The sequence below is a fragment of the Homo sapiens genome, chromosome 1 (assembly GCF_000001405.40).
Source record: "Homo sapiens chromosome 1, GRCh38.p14 Primary Assembly".
Classification (NCBI taxonomy): Eukaryota; Metazoa; Chordata; class Mammalia; order Primates; family Hominidae; genus Homo; species Homo sapiens.
This window is the reverse complement of record NC_000001.11, coordinates 146,989,247-147,009,381: the sequence shown is the minus strand read 5'-3', so window position 1 is coordinate 147,009,381 and position 20,135 is coordinate 146,989,247. Positions and strand designations below refer to the sequence as shown.

The 20,135-nt window shown below is 43.3% G+C and overlaps 1 protein-coding gene across 2 annotated transcripts in view; it reads right to left on the bottom strand.

The window, feature by feature from the left end:
- Window positions 1-13,183: 13,183 nt before the first annotated feature.
- The window catches only part of NBPF12 (NBPF member 12), a 57,875-nt gene continuing 50,923 nt past the window's right edge, over window positions 13,184-20,135 (bottom strand). For both annotated transcript variants that reach the window (NM_001278141.3, XM_047447088.1), the window contains 7 exons: window positions 19,636-19,808; window positions 18,865-18,916; window positions 18,097-18,269; window positions 17,336-17,387; window positions 16,498-16,670; window positions 15,675-15,783; window positions 13,184-15,050 (listed from right to left, as the gene is read on the bottom strand). In NM_001278141.3, coding sequence (NP_001265070.1) covers window positions 14,807-15,050; window positions 15,675-15,783; window positions 16,498-16,670; window positions 17,336-17,387; window positions 18,097-18,269; window positions 18,865-18,916; window positions 19,636-19,808 — 976 coding nt within the window. In that variant the 3' untranslated portion in view covers window positions 13,184-14,806. The remainder of the gene's footprint in view (window positions 15,051-15,674; window positions 15,784-16,497; window positions 16,671-17,335; window positions 17,388-18,096; window positions 18,270-18,864; window positions 18,917-19,635; window positions 19,809-20,135) is intronic.

Here is a 20,135-nt window from a genome sequence, read left to right as displayed (position 1 = left end):
GAGTGGTTTTGATTGAGTTTCTTAATCCTGAGTTCTAGTTTGATTGCACTGTGGTCTGAGAGACAGTTTGTTATAATTTCTGTTCTTTTACATTTTCTGAGGAGTGCTTTTCTTCCAAGTATGTGGTCAATTTTGGAATAGGTGCAGTGTGGTGCTGAGAATAATGTATATTCTGTTGATTTGTGGTGGAGAGTTCTGTAGATGTCTATTAGGTCCACTTGGTACAGAGCTGAATTCAATTCCTGGATATCCTTGTTAACTTTCTGTCTTGTTGATCTGTCTAATGTTGACAGTGGGGTGTTAAAGTCTCCCATTATTATTGTGTGGGAGTCTAAGCCTCTTTGTAGGTCTCTAAGGATTTGCATTACGAATCTGGGTGCTCCTGTATTGGGTGCATATATATTTAGGATAGTTAGCTCTTCTTGTTGAATTGATCCCTTTACCATTATGTAGTGGCCTTCTTTGTCTCTTTTGATCTTTGTTGGTTTAAAGTCTGTTTTTTCACAGACTAGGATTGCAACCCCTGCCTTTTTTTGTTTTCCATTTGCTTGGTAGATCTTCCTCCATCCCTTTATTTTGAGCCTGTATGTTTCTCTGCATGTGAGATGGGTTTCCTGAATACAGCACACTGAAGGGTCTTGACTCTTTATCCAATATGCCAGTCTGTGTCTTTTAATTGGAGCATTTAGTCCATTTACATTTAATGTTAATATTGTTATGTGTGAATTTGATCCTGTCATTATGATGTTAGCTGGTTATTTTGTTCATTAGTTGATGCAGTTTCTTCCTAGCATCGATGGTCTTTACAATTTGGCATGTTTTTGCAGTGGCTGGTACTAGTTGTTCCTTTCCATATTTAGTGCTTCCTTCAGGAGCTCTTTTAGGGCAGGCCTGGTGGTGACAAAATTTCTCAGCATTTTCTTGTCTGTAAAGTATTTTATTTCTCCTTCACTTATGAAGCTTCATTTGGCTGGATATGAAATTCTGTGTTGAAAATTCTTTTCTTTAAGATTGTCGAATATTAGCCCCCACTCCCTCCTGGCTTGTAGAGTTTCTGCCAAGAGATCAGCTGTTAGTCTGATGGGCTTCCCTTTGTGGGTATCCCGACCTTTCTCTCTGGCTGCCCTTAACATTTTTTCCTTCATTTCAACTTTGGTGAATCTGACAATTATGTGTCTTGGAGTTGCTCTTTTCGGGGAGTATCTTTGTGGCGTTCTCTGTATTTCCTGAATTTGAATGTTGGCCTGCCTTGCTAGATTGGGGAAGTTCTCCTGGATAATATCCTGCAGAGCGTTTTCCAACTTGATTCCATTCTCTCTGTCACTTTCAGTACAGCTATCAAATGTAGATTTGGTCTTTTTACATAGTCCCATATTTATTGGAGTCTTTGTTCATTTCTTTTTACTCTTTTTTCTCTAATCTTGTCTTCTCGCTTTATTTCATTAATTTGATCTTCAATCACTGATATTCTTTATTCTGCTTGATTGAATTGGCTATTGAATCTTGTTTATGCTTCACGAGGTTCTCATACTGTGGTTTTCAGCTCCTTCAGGTCACTTAAGCTCTTCTCTACACTGTTTATTCTAGTTAGCCATTCATCTAACCTTTTTTCAAGGTTTTCAGCTTCCTTGTGATGGGTTAGAACATGCTCCTTTAGCCCGGAGAAGTTTGTTATTACCGACCTTCTGAAGCCTGCTTCTGTCACCTCATCAAACTAATTCTCCATCCAGTTTTGTTCCCTTGCTGGTGAGGACTTGTGTTCCTTTGGAGGAGAAGAGGTGTTCTGGTTTTTGGAATTTTCAGCCTTTCTGCTCTGGTTTCTCCCCATCTTTGTGGTTTTATGTACTACTTTGGTCTTTGATGTTGGTGACCTACAGATGGGGTTTTAGTGTGGATGTCCTTTTTGTTGATGTTGATGCTATTCCTTTCTGTTTGTTAATCCTTCTAACCAGGCAGGTCCCTCAGCTGCAGGTCTGTTGGAATTTGCTGGAGGTCCACTCCAGACCCTGTTTGCCCAGCTATCACCAGCAGAGGCTGCAGAATAGCAAATATTGCTGCCTGATCCTTCCTCTGGAAGCTTTGTCCCAGAGGGGCACCCACCTGTATAAGGTGTCTGTCGGCCCCTACTGGGAGGTGTCTCCCAGTTAGGCTACATGGTGGTCAGAGACCCACTTGAGGAGGCTGCCTGTCCATTATCAGAGCTCAAATGCCATGCTGGGAGAACTACTGCTGTCTTTAGGGCTGTCAGGCAAAGACGTTTAAGTCTGCAGAAGGTGTCTGCTGCCTTTTATTCAGATATGCCCTGCCCCCAGAGGTGGAATCTAGAGGCAGTAGGCCTTGCTGAGCTGCAGTGGGCTCTACCCAGTTTGAGCTTCCCTACCACTTTATTTACACTGTGACCATAGAACCACATACTCAAGCCTCAGCAGTGGCAGAACCCCCTCCCCCTGCCATGTTCCAGTGCCACAGGTTGATCTCAGACTGCTGTGCTAGCAGCAGGCAAGGCTCCATGGGCATGGGACCTGCCGAGCCAGGCACAAGAGGGAATCTCCTGGTCTGTCGGTTGCAAAGACAGTGGAAAAAAGCACAGTATTTGGGCAGGGGTGTACTGCTCCTCGAGGTACAGTCACTCACATCTTCCCTTGGCTAGGAAAAAGAAATCCCCCAACCCCTTGCACTTCTCGGGTGAGGCAACACCCCACCCTGCTTTGGCTCATCCTCCATGGGCTGCATACACTGTCCAACGAGTCCCAGTGAGATGAACGAGGTACCTCAGTTGGAAATGCAGAAATCACCTGTCTTCTGCGTCTATCTCACTTGAAGCTGTAGACCGGAGCTGTTCCTATTCAGCCATCTTGGAAGCAACCCTCTTTTTCTTTTTGTATTTTGGTAGAGACAGGGTTTCACCATATTGCCCAGGCTGGTTTCAAACTCCTGAGGTCAAGCCATTCTATAAAACAAACTTATATTTGTTTTATCTGAGTTCCTTCCTCAGGAAAGGACTCTCAGGCCTCTCAAAAAGCATCAGAGACCTGAAACTCAGCCAATCACAGCATCCAGACAATGAGATGCCAGTCCCCTCACTCATCACGAGTGCTTCCTCACCCCTCCCTAGTTCCTCTTTTCCTACACACAGTTAACTTTTCTTCTGCGCTATATAAACCCCTAACTTTAGTCAATCAGGGAGACAGATTTAAGACTCATCTCCTGTCTACTCAGCTGCAGCACCTGATTAAAGCCTTCTTCCTCAGCAATACTCAATGTCTCAATGATTGTCTTTCTGTGTGCTGAGAACACTGAAGCCCTGGGGTTTTGGTAAAAATACATGTACACTTTTAAAAACCCCAATTAATGGGTTGTGGTATATTGAGAAATTGGAGTGGCGTCAACTTGGCCAATTCTGAGGAAACACACTGTGCTTAAGTGTCAGGGCCCTGCCTCCTGACCTCGACAGTTTATGGTTGATTTTGAGGCACAGCAGGGGAGTATGGCCTGGTTTGAGTGTTTTATAGAAATGTAAAACATGGCTGATTACTTTTTATTTTAAATCCAACAAATTCTCCATTTCTGGTGAGAAAATCTTGCCAAAACCAACCAAACAAATGCATAGAAGTATATGAAGAAGAAAATGAAAGATTCCCTGCCTCCGAATCCCACTTGCTTGGTGTCAGCCATTATTTATCACATGGAGGATGGGGGCAAGACACCCAGGAAGTCCCAAGTCCTGTTCTCACAATCATCTGGCCTCCCTGGGCAAAGGGAAAAGAGGGAAGGCAAAAAGAATATAACACTACTGTTTGCGGAAATTTCCCCTTGGTACAGGAAACTCTGGTAAACTGAGAGAGTATGTTTTCCAGAGGGAGGCCTCAAGGGCTCTTCTCTGGCCCTAAGCCCAAACTGGATTTTGCCTCATTTTCTGAGGTGCAAATGAAATGATAAAAGTTGATCAAAGGAGAGGGCAGAGAGAAAGAAAGAGGATGAATCCTCTCTCGCAGGTCCACCTTCTTTGGTGTTGCTTGAGGGATCAGAAGAAATGCCTTAACATAGGTGTGTGGGAACTATGGCTGCTAAGTATGAACTCAGTTACCTCCAGTTATAAGCTAGTGTGAGGTTCCATGGTGTAATGGTGACCACTTTGGACTCTGAATACAGTGATCAGAGTTCAAGTCTCACTGGAACCTTTCTGTATAATTCCAGTGAGGTTCCTCTCTATTGCTCCATAAGCAGAATGGGGGAAATTGCCCAATCGTGGTCACAGACCCTCCATGCCACTGGCTGTGTGCAATTGGAGTCCCGGACCCAGCGACCAGCAAGACCGCTCCCCTGTCAGGATGACCCTGGGCCTCCAGGTCACAGGTCTCCACTAAAAAGGCTGCCTCCCCTCAATCCTAGACCCTGAGTTTTCTTTTCTTCACGTCATTGGGCCATTGCCCTATGTCTCTTTGGAAGAAATGACCTATATGAAAAATTTTACTTCCAGGATTCCCTAATTCCTTCATCCCCTAGGACAGTGTAGTTTTTCATCTCCTGATCTTGGTTCCAGTACTAATGCACGCGTTTCATCTTGTTTTCATGGGATCCCCTCCAACCGGCTACCAGTGGATTCCTGCCCTTGGGGTCTCTGTGGATGGTAACTAGATGCTGCTCTTGTCCCAAATCCTGACACCTCCCTCCAGGGAATTGCCTCCCTTCGCCTCCTAAATCAGCCAATATTTAGATTTGAGCCTGGAATCCCAGCATCTGTGGAGAACGGAGGTTCCTGATCCCTGGCCAGCCTCCCGCAGTGAAGGGGAGAGGAGCAGAGCAGCTGGGAGGGGCAAGTCCAGGGCCCTGGGCAACCCCCTTCTTCCTGCCCAGACTCTGCTCCAAGGAGAAGTTGCCTTAGGACCAGATCAGATGGAAACTCTTGTTCTCTTCTCATCAGCAGAAAAATTTAGGCAAGAGCTCTGGAGGACCTTCCTAGCTCATAAAAATACTGTGGTTAAGTCTCTCCAGTTTTGGAAATGTCCAAGGTTACCAAGTGTTTTGAGGGCTCACTTTGGAGCCTCTGAAAAGGAGGGGTCAGGGCCCATGGAAGGTACCTGAGGGATTCAGGAGAGAGAGGGGAAAGAGCAGACAGGAGGGAGGAGAGAAGGAGGGAGGGGGAGAAAGGGTGTGTGAGGGCCAGGAGCCAGGATTCACCCTGACAGTTCAGTGACTGCTCCCTGACCCCAAGGTTCCCACTGTGGCACCTTCCAGCAGGTGGTTTCCATCTCTTATTGATGTCCTGAGAACTTGGCTCTACAGAATGGTCCCACCCTATTTGTCTGGCATGAGTCCTGCAAAGTTTCTTTTCATCATTTGGGGGATGAGATGGGGGTATATAGGTTTGCAAGTGACTAGGAGCTAAGTCAGGACCTTGTGGAGCCACTCAGAGTTAACTGTCAAGTAGCCTCCTTTCCCCCTTCCCTTGCAGGATGATTGCCTGCAAGACAGGGCCTGGAGGCCAGGGCACCCAAGGCCACAGAAATGCCCAGGGATGAGTCCTGGCTGGAGATGCCTTGGCCGAGCTGACTGTGCACTTCCAGGGCTCACAGGGGTCTGGCCAGGAGACTGAGCAAGGGGACCAGGGAGGTTGTGTAGCAGGCTTCTGCACAGCAAGGCAGACATTCTTCTTGGAGCCCCCAACCCAAATCAGGTCTTCCACCTCCTCTTCCTAAAGACCCTTTACTGCTGTCGTTCCTTTACTGAACTACAAGTTTAGAGGACATGGATTTCAGTGCCCTCATCTGGCCAACCATCTTCAGCTGCCAATGGACAAGGTAACCTCCCTCCCTGCCAAGACCTGACTCAGGACCTTTCCTTAAGGAGATGTCCTGTTCTTTCTTTCCCACCAGAACTGCCCTGGCCCAGACCCCATTTCTGTCTGGTGACCAGGACAGTCCCCTCACCAGTCTCCCAGGTTGGGGAGGGCAGATCCTCCTCAGCTCCCTGCCCCTGAGAGACCCCAACCATCTTGTGTGGCTCCGGCCCACAGAGTGATATCCATGGCCCATATCTCTCAAAACTCTCCCCTCCCACTCTGAATCCACCCTCTACTGCATGCTCCCCTCACAGAACAGACTAATTTTTGTGTGTGTGTCCTTGTTTTGCCTACCTGTACCCCAGACAGACTTTTCTGTCTTAGAACTACCTGTCCCTCTTTGGACAGTGTCTTCCTGGTACTGCACATGAAGATGTCCCGCTCTCCCCTGCTCAAGGAGAGAGTGCCTGACCTGAGCTGGGCCCATCAGATCCAGTACTTACCTGGAATAGGAAAAAGATGGGGAGAGTGACCAAAGACTACAAAAATCTCTGAAGCTTATCTACTTGAGAGAGAGTCCCTGAAGATACTGGCCTCTCATTCCTGCTATGTATATCCAATGTGACTGAACTCTGAATAAAATATACAAGTTATAACAATGTAGCAATTGACCCAGCAAACGAGGACACAAACGTGTTGAAGGGTAAGGTGGTGAGAGGCGTGTTTGGGGGTGGTGGTGATGAGCAAGTATGTGAAGGAGAGGTAGTGCCTAAACTTGAAAATCAAAAAGTAATAATATCTATTTAGGCATAAGGAGATAAATAATGAAATAATTGCTTCTATGTGATGAAACTCTGGGAGTACACAAGGGCACTGCTATTTTACTAAACAAATTTTCAAGTATATATAACTTTGATAAAGTATCCAAATAATTCCTTTCCCATATAAGTATGTGTATATATGTATTCATTGTATTTTGAAGATAAGTTTTTACACAGTCATGTTAATCGCTTTCATTTAAGGATTTGAGTTTGATGTCTTGCATACAATGTGATCCCACTGTATGACTACACAAATGTTGGCAAAAGTAAGTTCAGAGGAAATGGTAGGCAAGTACTTCCCAGTTTTGACCAGAAGATGGAGAAAAAAGAATTCTCAAAAAATATTAAAAGTATGACATATTATATTTTCTTTTCACAGTAATTTAGACAGAAATTAGCAAAATCAAACATGTATAAATACTTTGGTCTGACAATTCCATCTCCAGGTGTCTACGGAGAAATAGACAAGCGATGCACGACAGATACATGTGTCAGTCTGGTCCCTGCAGTTGTATTTGTAATAATACACATTGGAGCAATTTCATGGCCATCGGTTAGAGAATGTTTGAGGAATGATCCTTTCATATCAAGAAGGACATTTCAAAGATCAAAACCTGATGGAAATGCTGGAGACCATGGCGCTGATAGGAGCTCATGCGTGTTGTCCAATTACTACGTGACAGGCATTGGCTCCATGCTTTTCCTGCACTGCTCATTTAAACACTGGACAACCTAAGTGTTCTGATTTAGCCCATTGGACAGATAGAAATGGAGGCACAGAAGATTAATGTGTTTAACTTCAAACCCTGGCAGATTAGGTTTTTCATCCAGAGCCTGTGGCTTCACCATAGCTGTGATTCACGTTCTGTCATTCTCCTCTTTAGGAATTTCCAGTATTCCAAATATGAGAAGCTGAGAAAACAAACAACAAACTCAAAACCCTAAAAACCAGGATACGTAAGGGTAGATGTTTGTTGGGTGTGGATTAAAAATGGACTTTTTTTGCCCCAAGCAACAAAGAGGCACCTTAGAAAATAGACAAGAGACAAGAAGAAGAGAAGCTTTAAGAGATATTTGGTCCAAGGAAGAGACTCTTCAGATGGAAGGTCACGTCAGCTAGAAACATTAATATGACTGGATGGGCTCAAACCACTGACTTTTCAGTCAACATCCGACAGCACTAACCTAGTGTTCCAGAGACACTGCTTGTTAAACAGTGAAAGCTGTTGCTCAATTGTGTCATCCGTAATTGTCAAATATTGCCATTTAGTAGCACAAGGAAGTATTCTCCGTTGCCAAGCTAGAGCACCCATAACTCTTCTGTTTTGTTGAACATTCTTCCCCACCACAAACCCTCTTTAGAAGACTGGGGGCTCCTAAAGCATTGAGGCCGAGAGTCCCATCCTTGTGCATGTTTGGGCATTGATCCATGGCCAAGTCAGTGGGAGACTCCTCCACCCCTACGCCAGGTCCCCAGGTGACAACTGCAGTCTCTGGATCTGAAGTCATCCACTTTCCCATTCCTAGCTCACCTCACCCATCGTGAAGCCTGATTAGTATTGCCAGAGACCCGAGTGGGCAGATGCCCACACCAAAGACAGAACCTGCTGTGTGCCCACCTTGCTGATCCCTCCATCCTTCTAGACAAAGGCTTCATAAGCCAAGGACCTTGGGTTTGCTCACAAGGCAGCCCCTCACCTAGTAGGCATTAGTTCATTATGTATATGTATATGTAGTCCTCAGGTTGTATTCCTTAAATATATATAATTTAAGGATATGTATTATATATATATATAAATATATATGTAATTCCTTAAATATATAATTTTAATACAATTTTTTTTTTGAGACGGAGTCTCACTCTGTCTCCCAGGCTGGAGTGCAGTGGCACCATCTTGGCTCACTGCAAGCTCCACCTCCCAGGTTCACGCCATTCTCCTGCCTCAGCCTCCCAAGTATCTGGGACTACAGGCGCCCGCCACCACGCCAGGCTAATTTTTTTTTTTTGTATTTTTAGTAGAGATGGGGTTTCACCATGTTAGCCAGGATGGTCTCGATCTTCTAACCTCATGATCCACCCACCTCGGCCTCCCAAAGTGGTAGGATTACAGGCATGGACCACCGCGCCTGGCCAAAACAAAGTTTTTAAAAGATTCCTTTAATAAACATTTACAATAGCATCAAGAAATATAAACGACATAGCAAATATGTGAAAGCCAGCCAGACTCTCAATGGCATCCAGAAATATAAACTACATAGAAAAGACATGAAAGCCAGCCAGGCTTGGCCTCAAATCCCAGCACTTTGGAAGGCTGTGGCAGGAGGGTTGCTTGATCTCATAAGCTTGAAACTAGCCTAGGCAACATAGTGAGCCCTCATCTCTACTGAAAATCAGAAAAATTATCCGGGTTTGGTGGTGTGAGCCTGTAGTCCCAGGAATCAGTGGATGAGGCCCTAGGATGTCATAGGCCTGAGAATTCCATGCTGCAGTGAGCTGTGATTGTGCCACTGTACTCCAGCCTGGGTGAAAGAGTGAGATCCTGTGCAGAAACAAAAGAAGAAAAAAAGAGATGTGAAAGCCTATATATTGAAGACTACCAAGTACTGCTTAGAGCAGTTAAAGACCTTTGGAATAGAAAATGTTTCTTCTTGCATTTCAAGATTGCTTTTGTTTTGGGGGGACACACTATTTTTTAGGAATATGAAGTTCTTGTTAGGCATTCCTGTAAAAAAGGCCACTTTTTGATAGGATTGTATTGAATCTGTGGGTTGCTTTGAGTTGTATTTTTATCTTAACCATGTTACAACTTCCAACCCATGGACACAAGATGTCTGTCCATTGATTTAGGTCTTCCTGAATCTCCTCGAGCAATGTTCTGTAGTTGTCTGTGTACAAGTACTGCACCTTCTTGAACAAATTTATTCCCAGGCATATTATTCTTACCAGTGCTATTATAAATGAAATCATTGTGTCAATTTTCTTCTCAGATTGTTCATTGCTAACACAACTGATTGTTTGCTGAAAGTTTGCTGAATTCGCTTATTAACTCTAGTAGTGTGTGTATGTGAGTGTGTGTGTGTGTGTGTGTGTGTGACTGGCCTCTGTGTGCATGTATGTGTGTTTGCATCTGTAGGTATTATTTGGGATTTTCTATGCATAGGATCACACCATCTGCAAATTGAGATCATTTTGTTTTCTGTTCAAAAACACTTTTTCTCATGTTTATTTTTAAAAGATAATTTGGCCAGGTGTAGAATTGTAGGTGACAGTTTTTCTTTTTTTTAAGTTCTTTATTGCAAACTTCTTGTTTGTATGAGAAATCTTATGCCATCATTATATTTAGTGCTCTGTATGTAACATGTTCTTTCCCTTTTTATTCCTTTTAGGATTTCCTTTTTATCACTGGTTTTGATGGATTTGATTAAGGCGTTCCTTGGTGAAGTTTTCTTCATGTTTCTTGTTCTTAGAATAATCATATTTCTGTAATATTTGAAGTTTATGGTTTCCATGGAGCTTCTAAATCTTTCATCCAGTATGTTTTAAATATCTTTGTCTCTCTTCTCCACTACACGCCCTTCAGGGATTCCATTTAGCCCTATACTGGGGGGTTTAAAGTTTTGATGCCGATGGTCTTTTTATGTTTTCAAGTCATTTGTTACTGTGTGTTTCATTTATGTTAGTTTCAAATTCTATTCCTTCTAGTTCAATAATCTTCTCTTCTGCAATGTTTAATCCACTGCCTTCTTCCATTTCAGACTGTAAATCATACTTTTTATTTACAGAATTTGATATTTAAAAAATCTTCAACCTCCCTATTTAATTAAAATACAATTATACTAACTGCTCTAATGTCCTTTTCTTCTATTTCCAACATGTCTGTCAATTTCAACTAGATTATTAGATTCTTCATTATGTGTCATGTTTTCCTGCTTCTTTGGCTGCTTGATATTCTTTTATTTTTATTTATTTTTTTTGCGGGGGGATAGAGTTTTGCTCTCGTTGCCCAGGCTGGAGTGCAATGGTGTGATCTCAGCTCACTGCAACCTCCACCTCCCAGGTACACAAGCGATTCTCCTGTCTCAGCCTCCCAAGTAGCTCAGATTACAGGCATGCACCATCATGCCTGGCTAATTTTTTTGTATTTAGTAGAGATGGGGTTTCACCATGTTAGTCAGGCTGGTCGTGAACTCCTGACCTCAGGTGATCCATCTGGCTGCTTGATATTCTAAGATTTGATGCTGGAACTTTGGTGTCAATGCTCAAAATGCCCAAAGACACCACTCAACCTCAGTGTCTATGCACACCCAAGCTTTTGCAGCAGGACAGGTAGAGCACAGATGAGTGTGCTACAACATGCTGGTAGAGGGTACCCCCAATTGTGCTTGGGGATTTCCTATTCCTCATGCAAAAATGTGTCTTCCTTAATTTTTCCCATAAGAACCACCCTACTTCATGCCCTGTCTCTCTGTCCAAACACCAGGACAGTCCTCTCACCAGTCTCAACCACCCAATGGATTGACAAAGGTGCAAATATGATTCAGTGGAGAAGGCATTCTCTTGTCAACAAATTGTGTAGAAACAACTTTTTTTACACAATTTGTTTTTTTTATACCCAAAGGAAAAAAATTCACCTGAACCTCAATACTAACTCAAAAACTAACTCAAAATGGATTATGCAACTAAATATAAACTATAAAACTAGAAAAAGTATAGCAGAAAATATAAGACAAAATCTTCATGACACAGAGTTAGGCAAAGTGTTCTTTATTATCAATAAACACAAACCATTAAAGAAAACATTGATAAATTCGACTTTATAAAAATTAAAAGTTTTTGCTCAACAGTATTAAGAGAACAAATATAAGCTGCAGTTTGGGAGAAAAACAGTGGAAATCACCAATATGACAAAGGGCATGTGTGATAGTTACTTGTAGTTGTCACTGTGACCGAGCACCAGGGTGCCAGGACATTTGGCCAAACATGATTCTGGTTGTGTTCCAGAGAGTCTTTCAGATACGATTAACATTGGGATGGGCAGACTAAGTGAAGCAGATTGCCCTCCTTAATAGGGGTGGGCCTCATGCAATCAATCAAGGGCCAGGAGAGAATTAAGAGGCCTAATGGGAAACAAATGCTTTCCTGGATATCCAGCTTTCCTTCCATCTTGGGAATTTCAGCCTCCATAATCTCAGAAGCAAATTCATGCATATATATACACACACATACATTTCATAGGTATGTGGCTAAGATTGTATTTTTACAAGTTCAGCCATGAGATGATTGGTGAAGCCAGCCAATGAATAAGGGTGTGTTCTATTATACGATTCAGTCTTCTTTTGTAAACGATTGAAGTTCTGCATTTGAAGTAGGAGGATAGGAGGGAGCAAGTCCACCTAGGATGATAACAGCTGAATTTCTCAACTTACACTTCAGAGCCGTAGGGGTCAACTTAGAGACTCAAAAATCTCACCCATAATCCTGCCCTAAACACCAGGGCTAGGGAACACTGTGGCCCTCAGGTGATTTTCTTTAGCCAGGTCTGGGAGCCACACGACGGCAGAGGGAGCAGGAAACACTATGCAAATAGAGGCCAGGACAGCAGGGAGGGCCTGTTCATGATAGAACCCAGGCAAAACTCTCCTCAGAAAGCGAGTGTGGAGAAACATAGATCATGCCTGAGACCTGGTGGATTAGAGCACTGGCTACTGGGGAATTGAAAGGAAGGGGCTTCACCGTGCAGAGGACCAGAGGTGCCCATCTTGGAAATGCAGAATTGCTGGGAGATGGGGAGGCACGGACCATGGAAGTATCCTCTGGAGACTCATGGTGAAGAGAACAAATGAATGAAGTAACTGGCAGAAATTAGAGGTCCTGGTAGAACAAAATAGAATCCCACAATGAGAACATACACCATGTATGTCCCCCAAGGATGACAATATCTCCTAAAAGCTCCAGAAAAATCATTTTGGACAAGCACCTTATATCTAGTAATGTGATCCATGTATCGAGACCGTGAGAAAAGATTATTAAACATGCTAAACTCAGCGAGACCTGATTCCCTCATGAGGACTCTGTTAAGGATGAGTACCACTCAGCAAGTGATGACTGTGACATTCACTTTTGAATAGCTCATGAGCGTTAATATATTTCATTATGGATCTAAACCACAATGGATAAAAACCAAGGTAGGGGCAGGATGATAATCACAGAATGTCACCGGTATATGTTTAGGTTCAAATACTATTATGAGAAGTGGCAGGTAAAGGAGGTAGGAAAAAGAAAACACATCATGTAATTGACTGTTGTATGGAAATATTTGATGCTGAAAGTTATAATTTAAAACTATAAACCAAATATTAGAAGTGTGTCTAGTTCAAAGGGAGGAAAACCATCAAAAACATTTTTAGTGCAATATTTAACATGAGCTATACAACCCTTCCTAAATGCCAAAGGCACACACAGACACACACACACACACACTCACGAAGAATACAAATGACTAGAACCAAGAAATGTAAATACATTCTGCTACGTATGGTAAACATAGCCTACAATGTGGAAGAGATTAGAAAATAAACATGGAAATGAAATGTTTTTATTAATTCACATCAGTACCCACCAAAACCAATCAGCATAATCAAATATTATAACACTGAATGTAAAAAACAATCCAAAAGTCCAGAGTGATAGGCAAAAGGTTTTAATTGTATAGATTAAAATTAACTTTGGACAAAAATTAAAACTCAGGCAGAGAATGTTTTCTTCTTTTTGCAACAGCAGACACTAGTAAAAACAAAGGCACAGTAAAAATTGAGACCCAAAATTTGCAGCGTAGAGATATGTATATAATAATAGACACAGGCAGGGAGGATTAATAAATGATAAAATGTTTAGAGGATGATCATTAGAATACAGGATATTTATACTCTTGAAAACCGCTTTCCCAAGTACTTCATTATAAGTAAGGTGTCTCTAAAAGGGACAGATCTCCTAGACCCCTCCTTAACCAAGTAACCAGTCCTGATATCATAATGGTGATGGACAAACTAGACCTTCTCTGCCCGCAGATGGGCTGAGGTTGGAAACTCACAGCATTGTCTCTGCAGTGTTCCCAGCAAAAAGTTTAGGCTGAATTTAATCATGAAGACATTTTCAGACAACTTCAGAATGTAGATCATTGAGCCAGAGAGCTGACCTGTCCTCTATAAACAAGTCCATGTCACCACCATCAATGACAACAACAAAAAGATGAGGAAATATTTGGGGTTCAAAATAACTAAAGAAATGCAGCTACATTATCTTTTTACTTTTTTTCAACCCAAAATATCTCTTCTCCTTTTTGTTGTGTGATTTGTGGTGATATGGACTATGTGAAGGAGACAGGTCAGTTGTCCTGCTCAGTGTTCTACATTCTGCAGTTGTCTGGTGATTACCTCCTATGAAACTCAGGCTAAGCGTTTTCTGCAAGAACATGGCATTGCTCATATTCTGCACCGGCAGAGTCCTGGGTGACATGCTGTCTCCTGCCAGCGGCTCCTGACTCCTGTTCTCTACAGGATGGAATTGAGAGGAGCAGGGCTAAGGCCTCCCAATGCTGTTTGTCCATCTAGCTGTGGTCTTCCTAAGTACTGACACCAATTGGAGGCTGAAGGACTGTGGCTTCTCTAACCAAAGGAGCCTAGTGGGTTAACAATTGTCAAGAGCAGTTGGTGGTTCTGAAATACAATCCTCAGCCAAGGATCCCTCCTGTGTTACAGATGGATCAGCTAAAACAAGCCAACACTGAAGACACAAATAATGAGGTTAGGTTCATTGAAACCAGGGTAACACCTTTGGATGAACTAAACACAAAGATGACACTGACCTTGAGTAGGTATAGAAGCTCAGAGACATGCCTGCAAAATGAAATCCCTGAGGAATTTTGTAGCTACCCAGAGATACATGGTTCAAATTAAAATGTCCGGCTGATCACTCCCGGCATGTGCTGCACAGTTATGTGAACGTGTCACACCTAACGTGGGTCCATTGTCTTCAGACTGAGCACAGGTTGCCACTGGCATGCTCTGAGAATAGGAATAGAGCCATGCCCACTGACCCATCCTATGTCTGGGCTTCCAAATGGAACTATAGTTTCATTCAAATCTTCAGGTGCCTATAGGTCCTGCCTGCAGGAATGAAACCTCTCGGCTTAGTAAGGGCTGCTTATTGTGGGAATATGACTCCCATCTGGAAGACCAGGTGGAGACTTGTCACCGTCAAAGTAAAAAAGCTATTGTCCATGTCAAGGGCAAAGGTGATGTGCTGTTCCTCAAATGAGTAAAACACACTTCTGTAGTGCTGGAATGAGTCAGGTAGTTCAAAGTACATTGATGGAGTCGAATAACATCTATCCAGTGAGTCCTGCAAGACTTCAGGCTCTTCCACTTCCATCAGCACGCTGTTGAGCCTGGAAAAGGAGACAAAACTAAAGAAGCAGCCAGGGAAAGTCAGACACCACAGAGCCTCACTAGATTTCAGAAGTAACATAAGGAAGTGGTTAGAAAAGAAAAAGGACAGATCCATTAATGAGGTAACAAATTATTGCCTTTATGTTGGGATAGAACAGGGCCAGGTAGAAAACAATGAAAGAGAAAGACAGAGAGAGAGAGACAGAGACAGAGACAGAGACAGAGACAGAGACAGAGAGAAAGTGAGCTAGTGAATTGGCCAGGTGACATACTGGTAAGGGAGTCAAAGGACACTCTGAGTTAGTGCCCTCATGACACACAGCAAACTGTGATCATGAAAAGAGTGAGCTCAATAGTTTTCCATAAAATATGCTCAAAATTCGATGCAGTGGCCATGAGAGTACAGCTTTTGAAGTATGGTCAACCTATGGTACGTTACTAAATGATAAGGGGAGGAAGAAATGGAAACCTAAACATCTACTGCAATGAAAACCAACAGCAATGACAGTAGGAGTAATTCAGCCTTCGTTGAAAACATGACATCAAACACACTCTGGTTTCCCTGAATCTGTTGCCTCCAGGTGTTAACACAGAATTAAGCATCCACAATTGCTGAAAGTTACCTGGGGCATGGTGGGTTTTGATCTTCTTCCCCTTCTTTTCTTCCCCTTCTTCTTTTCTTCTTTGATCTTCTTCCCCTTCTTTTCTTCCCCTTCCCCTTCTTTTCAATTTCTGCAATAAATTCAGACATGGACAGACACATTAAGCTGATTCCCCTACACACATAACAATCCACTGTCTAATCCTCACACAGGGACCTCAGGCTCCTCAGCATAAGAATAGGACACTGTGAGAGATATATTTCAGGAGGCCTGAAGGCTGGTCATGATAGAAATTCCTCGGTTTTTCTCCCAGAAACTCTGGGTAAAATGTCCCTATTCTAGTAGATCGTTATCCCAATATCATTTGTCCCAAGTTTGTGCAAACAGTTATGCCTTATTTTTCCAATCAATTTAAAGCAAATACCCTCAAATGATTTCTAGGAGAAAAACTGCAATATTTAGCCCTGTCTCATCAAATACTCAGATTGTTCATGGTTGTGAGGACTCCAGACACTGAAATTAGAGTGAAAAAGGAAATCTACAAACCCTCGAGTCAAAATCATAGTTCTCTGAATTTGTCACATCTGCCCAGGTCCAATGTCATGAGAGTAGAATCAGAGTGCCACAGGCATGGCCTGAGACTAGGAAGAGAGCCATGCTCACTGACCCATCCCATGTCTGGGCTTCCAGGTAGAACTAGAGTTTCATTCAACCTACATGTGCCTATAGGTCCTCACTGCGGCAATGACATCTCTCAGCTCAGTAATGGCCACTTGGAGCAGGAATATGATCTTTATATGGAAGACTCAGTGGATCCTTATCACCTTCATAGAAACGTACTCACCTCCCACGTCAAGAGAAAAGCCAACATGTTTTTCCTCCAATGCATAAAAGGAACTTCTGTAGGGCTGGCAGGAGTCAGGCTGTTCAAGACAACTGGAAGGAGTTGAATAACATCTATCCAGTGAGTCCTGCAAGACTTCAGGCTCTACTACCTCCAGCAGCTCCCTGCTGAGCCTGGAAAAGGAGGAAAAAGTAAAGAATAAGCCAGGGGAAATCAGACACAACAGAGCCCCAACTAGGTTTCATGGGTAGCATAAGGAAGTGGTTAAAAAAAGTAAAAGGATAGATCCATTAATGAGGTAACAAATTATTGCCTTCATGTTGGGACAGAACAGGGCCAAATGGAAAAGAATGAAAGAGAAAGACAGATAGACACACACACACACACACACACACACACACACACACACACACACACACACAGAGAGAGAGAGAGAGAGAGAGAGAGAGAACGAGCTCAGTGAATTGTCCAGGTGACACACTGATGAGGGAGTAACAGGACACTCTGAGTTAGTGCCCTCAGGACACACAGCATACAGTGATCATGAAAAGACTGTGCTCAATAATTTTCCATAAAATGTGCTCAAGTTTCCATGCAGTCACCATGAGAATACAGTTTTTGAAGTCTGGTCCACCTGCAGTAGGTTAGTAAATGATAAGGGGAGGAAGAAATGGAAACCTAAGTATCTACTGCAATGAAAACCAACAGCAATGTTAGTAGGAATAATTCAGGCTTGGTTGAAAAGATGTAATCGATAATGTCAGCCCGCTCTGTTTTCCCTGAACCAGGAGTCTCCAGATGTCAACACAGAAGTAGCTGTTCACAATTGCTCAGTTACCTGGGGCATGGTGGGCCTTGGTCTTCTTCCTCTTCTTGGTCCTTTTTAATTCCTGCAATACATTCAGGCAGGGACAGACAAAATAAGCCAATTCACCTACACCCATAACAGTCCACTGTCTAATCCCCACACAGGGATCTCAGGCTCCTCAGCATGAGAACAGGACAATTTGAGGGATATACTTCAGGAGGCCTGAAAGCTGGTCATGATATTCTTTGGTTTGCATCTCAGAACCAAGGGTGAAATATCCCTATTCTGGTAGATCGTTATCCCAAAATCATTTATCCCAAGTTTGTGCAAACAGTTATGCCTTATTGTTCCCATCAGTTCAAAGAAAATGCCCCAGAGGATTTCTAGGAGGAAAACTGCAGTATTCGGCCCTGTCTCATCAAATGCCCAGCTCGTTCACGGATGCAAGAATTTTAGACACTGAAATTAGAATGAAGGAGGAAATCTACAAACCCTTGAGTCCAAATCATAGTTCTGTGAATTTTTTACATCTGCCTGGGTCCAATGTGCTGAGAGTGGGCTCAGGTTGCCACAGGCATGGCTGGAGACTAGGAATAGAGCCTTGCTCACTGACCCATTTCATGTCTAGGCTTCCAGCTGAGACTACAGTTTCATTACAACCTATATGCACCCATAGGTCCTGCCTGTGGCAATGACGTCTCTCGGGTCAGTAAGGGCCACTTGGAACAGGAATGTCACCCCTATCTGGAAGGCCAGGTGGAGGCTTATCACCTTCATAGTAAGGTACTCACTGTCCACGTCAAGAGCCAAGCCAAGGTACTGTTCCTCCAATGAGTAAACAGCACTTCTGTAGGGCTGGCCTAAGTCAGGCAGTTCAAGATAACCTGAAGGAGTCGAATAACATCTATCCAGTGAGTCCTGCAAGACTTCAGGCTCTTTCTCAGCCAGCAGCTCCCTGCTGAGCCTGGAAAAGTAGGAAAAAGTAAAGAATAAGCCAGGGGGAATCAGAAACCACACAGCCCCAGCTAGATTTCATGGCTAACATAAGGAACTGTTTAAAAAGAAAAAGGACAGATCCATTAATGAGGTAATGAATTATTGCCTTTATGTTGGGATAGACCAGGGCCAGGTAGAAAAGAATGAAAGAGAAGACAGGGAGAGGGAGAGAGAGAGAGAGGAGAAAGTGAGCTCAGCGAATTGGCCGGGTGACACACTGATGAAGGGTTCAAAGGACACTCTGATTTAGTGCCCTCGGGACACACAGCGAACAGTGATCATGAAAACAGTGGGCTCAATAATTTTCCATAAACTTGCTCAAGATTCCATGCAGTTGCCATACGGCCTTTGAGGTATGGTCAACCTATAGTAAGTTAGTAAATGACAAGGGGAGGAAGAAATGGAAACCTAAACATCTACTGCAATGAAAACCAACAGCAATGGCAGTAGGAGTAATTCAACCTTCGTGGAAAACATGAAATTGAACACACTCTTCTTTTCCCTGGACCTGGCATCTCCAGGTGTCAACACAGAATTAAGCATCCATAATTGCTCAAAGTTACCTGGGGCATGATGGGTCTTGGTCTTCTTCCACTTCTTGGTACTTTTCAATTTCTGCAATAAGTTCAGACATGGACAGACATATGAAGCTGGTTCTCCTACACACATAACAATCCACTGTCTAATCCTCACACAGGGACTTCAGGCTCCTCAGCATGAGAATAGGACACTGTGAGAGATATTCTTCAGGAGGCCTGAAGGCTGAGCATGATAGAGATTCCTTGGTTTTTGTCCCAGAAACTCTGGGTAAACTTCCCTATTCTGGTAGATCGTTATCCCAATATCATTTCTCCCAAGTTTGTGCAAATGGTTATGCCATATTTTTCCAATCGATTTAAAGCAAGTGCCCCCAAATGGTTGCTAGGAGAAAAACTGCACTATTCAGCCCTGTCTCATCAAATACTCAGATTGTTCATGGTAGCGAGGATTTTAGACGCTGAAATTAGAGTGAAGGATGAAATCTACAAGATCTACAGAATTCAGACAAAATCAGAGTTGTGTGAATTTGTCACATCTGCCCAGATCCAACATCTTGAGAGTAGGATTAGGGTGCCACAGGCAGGGCCTGAGACTAGGAAGAGAGCCTTGCTCACTGACCCATCCCTTGTCTGGGCTTCCAAGTGGAACTAGAGTTTCACTCAACCTACATGTGCCTATAGGTCCTCCCTGTGGCAATGACATCTCTCAGCTCAGTAAGGGCCACTTGCAGTAGGAATATGACCCTAACCAGAAGACTCAGTGGATCCTTATCACCTTCATAGAAAGGTACTCACCATCCATGTCAACAGCCAAGCCAACACGCTGTTGCTCCAATACGTAAAAGGCACTTCTGTAGGGCTGGCATGGGTCAGTCAGTCCAAGATAAACTGAAGGAGTCGAATACCATCTATCCAGTGAGTCCTGCAAGACTTCAGGCTCTTTCTCAGCCAGCAGCTCCCTGCTGAGCCTGGAAAGTGGGAAAAAGTAAAGAATAAGCCAGGGGGAATCAGAAATCACACAGCCCCAGCTAGATTTCATGGCTAACATAAGGAAGTGGTTAGAAAAGAAAAAGGACAGATCCATTAATGAGGTAACAAATTATTGCCTTTATGTTGGGATAGAACAGGGCCAGGTAGAAAACAATGAAAGAGAAAGACAGAGAGAGAGAGACAGAGACAGAGACAGAGACAGAGACAGAGACAGAGAGAAAGTGAGCTAGTGAATTGGCCAGGTGACATACTGGTAAGGGAGTCAAAGGACACTCTGAGTTAGTGCCCTCATGACACACAGCAAA